This window comes from Homo sapiens, chromosome 9 (genome assembly GCF_000001405.40).
Source record: "Homo sapiens chromosome 9, GRCh38.p14 Primary Assembly".
Lineage (NCBI taxonomy): Eukaryota > Metazoa > Chordata > Mammalia > Primates > Hominidae > Homo > Homo sapiens.
The window spans coordinates 133,027,484-133,030,661 of record NC_000009.12 but is presented as its reverse complement, the minus strand read 5'-3'; the positions used below and the strand labels follow the sequence as shown (position 1 = coordinate 133,030,661).

General features: G+C 51.3%; 1 long non-coding RNA gene across 1 annotated transcript, besides 1 other annotated feature; it reads left to right on the top strand.

The window, feature by feature from the left end:
* Positions 235–484: an enhancer, noted in NCBI's record as "active region_29226". NCBI's record gives its function as "activates an Ori minimal core promoter by ATAC-STARR-seq in GM12878 lymphoblastoid cells {active_cell/tissue: GM12878}" and the evidence as "EXISTENCE:reporter gene assay evidence [ECO:0000049][PMID:35858748]".
* Positions 240–2,510, top strand: LOC105376306 (uncharacterized). Its single transcript, NR_135119.1, has 2 exons — positions 240–512; positions 2,231–2,510. It is a non-coding gene; the product is annotated as an uncharacterized LOC105376306 (long non-coding RNA).
* The last annotated feature ends 668 nt before the right edge of the window (positions 2,511–3,178 follow it).

Genomic DNA, 3,178 nt, shown 5'->3' with positions numbered 1-3,178 from the left:
AGTTTTTTTTTGAGCCAATGAGAAGTCCGGAGGAAGCTAGGTCCCACCTTCTCCTCCAGCTTCGTACGTTTTAACCAATAAAGAACTAGAGTTAACCACGTCCCAGCCCTCTTCTGGGTATTCCACCCAATGACACCTCGGGGGCGGGCCAGAGGCAGACTTCCGGCCCGCCTGCTTGGTGGGGAAAAGGTCCCGGCTGAGAATTGATTTCCGCATTGGGTCGGCCTGGTATTCTGTCGGTGTTGGCGCTTCTTCTCCCAAGCTCTTGCAGCCCCCTCGGGACTAGGTTTCCAACGGCGCTTGCGGGGGGCCTCGCGGAGGTGGATGTGGAAAAGGCGAGCGCGGGGGAACTGTGCTGTAACCATCGCCCCGCCTCCACAGAAAGCCCCGAAGCGCCGGCTCGGGGCCGAACGCGGGCATCCGGCGTTCGTCTGTTAGGCAGGCAGACATTAAGCGCCTACTGTGTGCTGGGCCCTACTCAAGACCCAGGCGGGGAGAACGGCGTCTGTCCGGTAGGCGCCCAGGGCTGCTGCAAAGCCCCGGAGCGAGGAGTGTGGCCCCTCAAACAGGGAGGAGATGAGGTCCGAGGCCGACCGAGGTCAGAGACCCGCACCCACGAAAAGGGTCCACCCGTCGGGCTGGCTGCTTCCCAGTGCCGTGGAGAGCCCCTGAAGGTTTCTTTTTTTGAGAAGGAATCTCGCTGTGTCGCCCAGGCTAGAATGCAGTGGCGCTTTCTCGGCTCACTGCAACCTCCGCCTCGGGTTCAAGCTATTCTCGTGCCTCAGCCTCCCGAATAGCTGGGATTACAGGCGCCTGCCACCATGCCCGGTTAATTTTTGTATTTTTAGTAGAGACGAGGTTTCACCATGTTGGCCAGGCTGGTCTTGAACTCTTGACCTCAAATGATCCGCCTGCTTCGGCCTCCCCAAGTCCTGGGATTACAGGCGTGAGCCACCGCGCCTGGCCCCTTGAAGGGTTTTATGCGGAGCAGTGATCCCATTCATGCATTTGAAAGACCTCTCTGGCTGTTGTGTGGAGAACAGATCAAAGGGGGAGAAAGTGAGTTCAGATAAACCAGCTCCGAGACTGCATAATCCAGTCAAGAGATGAAGGGACTGGGTTTGAGAATATTGGGAGATGAGAATCATGGCCCAGCACAGTGGCTCACGCCTGTAATCCCAGCACTTTGGGAGGCTGAGGCGGGAGGATCAGTTGAGCCCAGCAGTTGGAGGCCAGCCTGGGCAACAGGGGAAGACCCCATTTCTACCAAAAAATACAAAATTAGCCGGCCATGGTGGTGCATGCCACAGTAGTCCCAACTACTCAAAAGGCTGAGGCAGGAGGATCCTTTGAGCCCTGGAGTTGGAGGCTGCAGTGAGCTATGATCATGCCACTTGCATTACAGCTAGAAATTAGTAAGAGCAAGTGACCCCTTGGGTATGGGTACCCCGTTTCTGAAGTGATTTTTTTTTTTGAAAGACACGATCTCCCTCTGTCACCCAGGCTGGAGTGTAGTGGTGTGATCATGGCTCACTGCAGCCCCGAACTCCTGGGCTCAAGTGATCCTCCTGCCTCAGCCTCCTGAGTAGTTGGGACTACAGGCGTGCACCACCATACCCGACTAATTTTGTATTTGTGTGTGTGTGGCGACGGGGTCTCACTATGTTGCCTAAAGTCATTTCTTTTTGTTGTTTGTTTGTTTTGAGACAGAGCCTCACTCTGTCACCAGGCTGGAATGCAGTAGCACAATCTCGGCTCACTGCAACCTCCGACTCCCTGGTATAAGCGATTCTCCTGCCTCAAACTCCCGGGTAGCTGGGATTATAGGCATGCGCCACCACGCCCAGCTAATTTTTGTATTTTTAGTAGAGATGGGGTTTCACCATGTTGGCCAGGATGGTCTCGATCTCCTGACATCATGATCTGCCCACCTCGGCCTCCCAAAATGCTGAGATTACAGGCGTGAGCCACCGTGCCCAGCCTGTGATTTCTTAATCAGAAGAGTACCTGATTGCTCTCCTTGGGTTTAAGAAGGCAGAATAAATAGCTACATGAATTCAGCCCACTGAATACATTCTAAAGTGTAACCTCAATGTGAAATATATTGTATTGTAATTGGAAGGCTGGGTCAGGAGCCCCAAAGCTTTGAAAGAACACCTCCTGAGAGTACAGTGGGAAATCAACCACCAGCAGATGATGGTTGAGCTAGAAGAACCACGTGTTTCCACAGGGAGCTGCACACGAGGACCCGGTGGTCCCTGACCTGCCCTCTCCAGGGGGGACCTGCACTTTCTGCCACCAAAGAGGATTCTCTGTAGGGAGGCCAGGATGATTCTCCAGAATTTACCATGCCTTGAGATGAAATTTCCTTTCAAACTTCCTTGTGTCCTTTTGTCCTCATTCCATGTTCACCAGTCTTCTGACTGTTTCATTTTCCAGAAAGGAGAAACTGAATAACATGTATATTTTAACCTTGCCTGCAATTGTAAATCAATAAATTGGTGTATTTACATCAGATCCCTGTGAGTTTGGTGCACATAAGACAGTCATGAAGACTTGGTCACTGTTGGTAGAGTTGGCCAATAAAATATTGAACACAGTTAAATTTGAATTCATGCAATATTTGGGGCATATTTATACTAAATATGTGTTATCTGAGATTCATATTTAGCTAGGTGATTTTTTAATTTGCTAAATATGGCACTCCCACCTCCGGGTATTGAGATTGAGTTTCTGAATTTGGAAAGCTGATTCCAAACCACCTGGAACCTTAGTGAGCCCACCATGCAATCCAGTGACCCTCTAGTTTGTCTGCTGTATTTTTCCTCCTTACTGAAGCAAGAGTGATCTTTCCAGAATGAGATCGCAGTCTGTCCCTGCCTCCAGTGACTCCCCAGCATCCCTGGCCCACCACCTGGCTAACTACTCCTCTCCTTTAGGTTGTTGCCTTAGACTTCAATTTGCCTGGTAAATCCTCCCTGACCCCAAAACACTAGTTTGGTGCCATCCTCGCTGCCCGGGGCCCCAAACCCACTGCATCATGGAGCCGGAAGCACTATTATTTTTTTTCTTTTTTACTTCTCCACTTGAGTGGCAACTTTCTGAAGACAGGGACCATGTCTGTCTTATTCACCACTGTCTTCCCACTGTCACCACTGCTTTGCATGGGGCTGAGCAC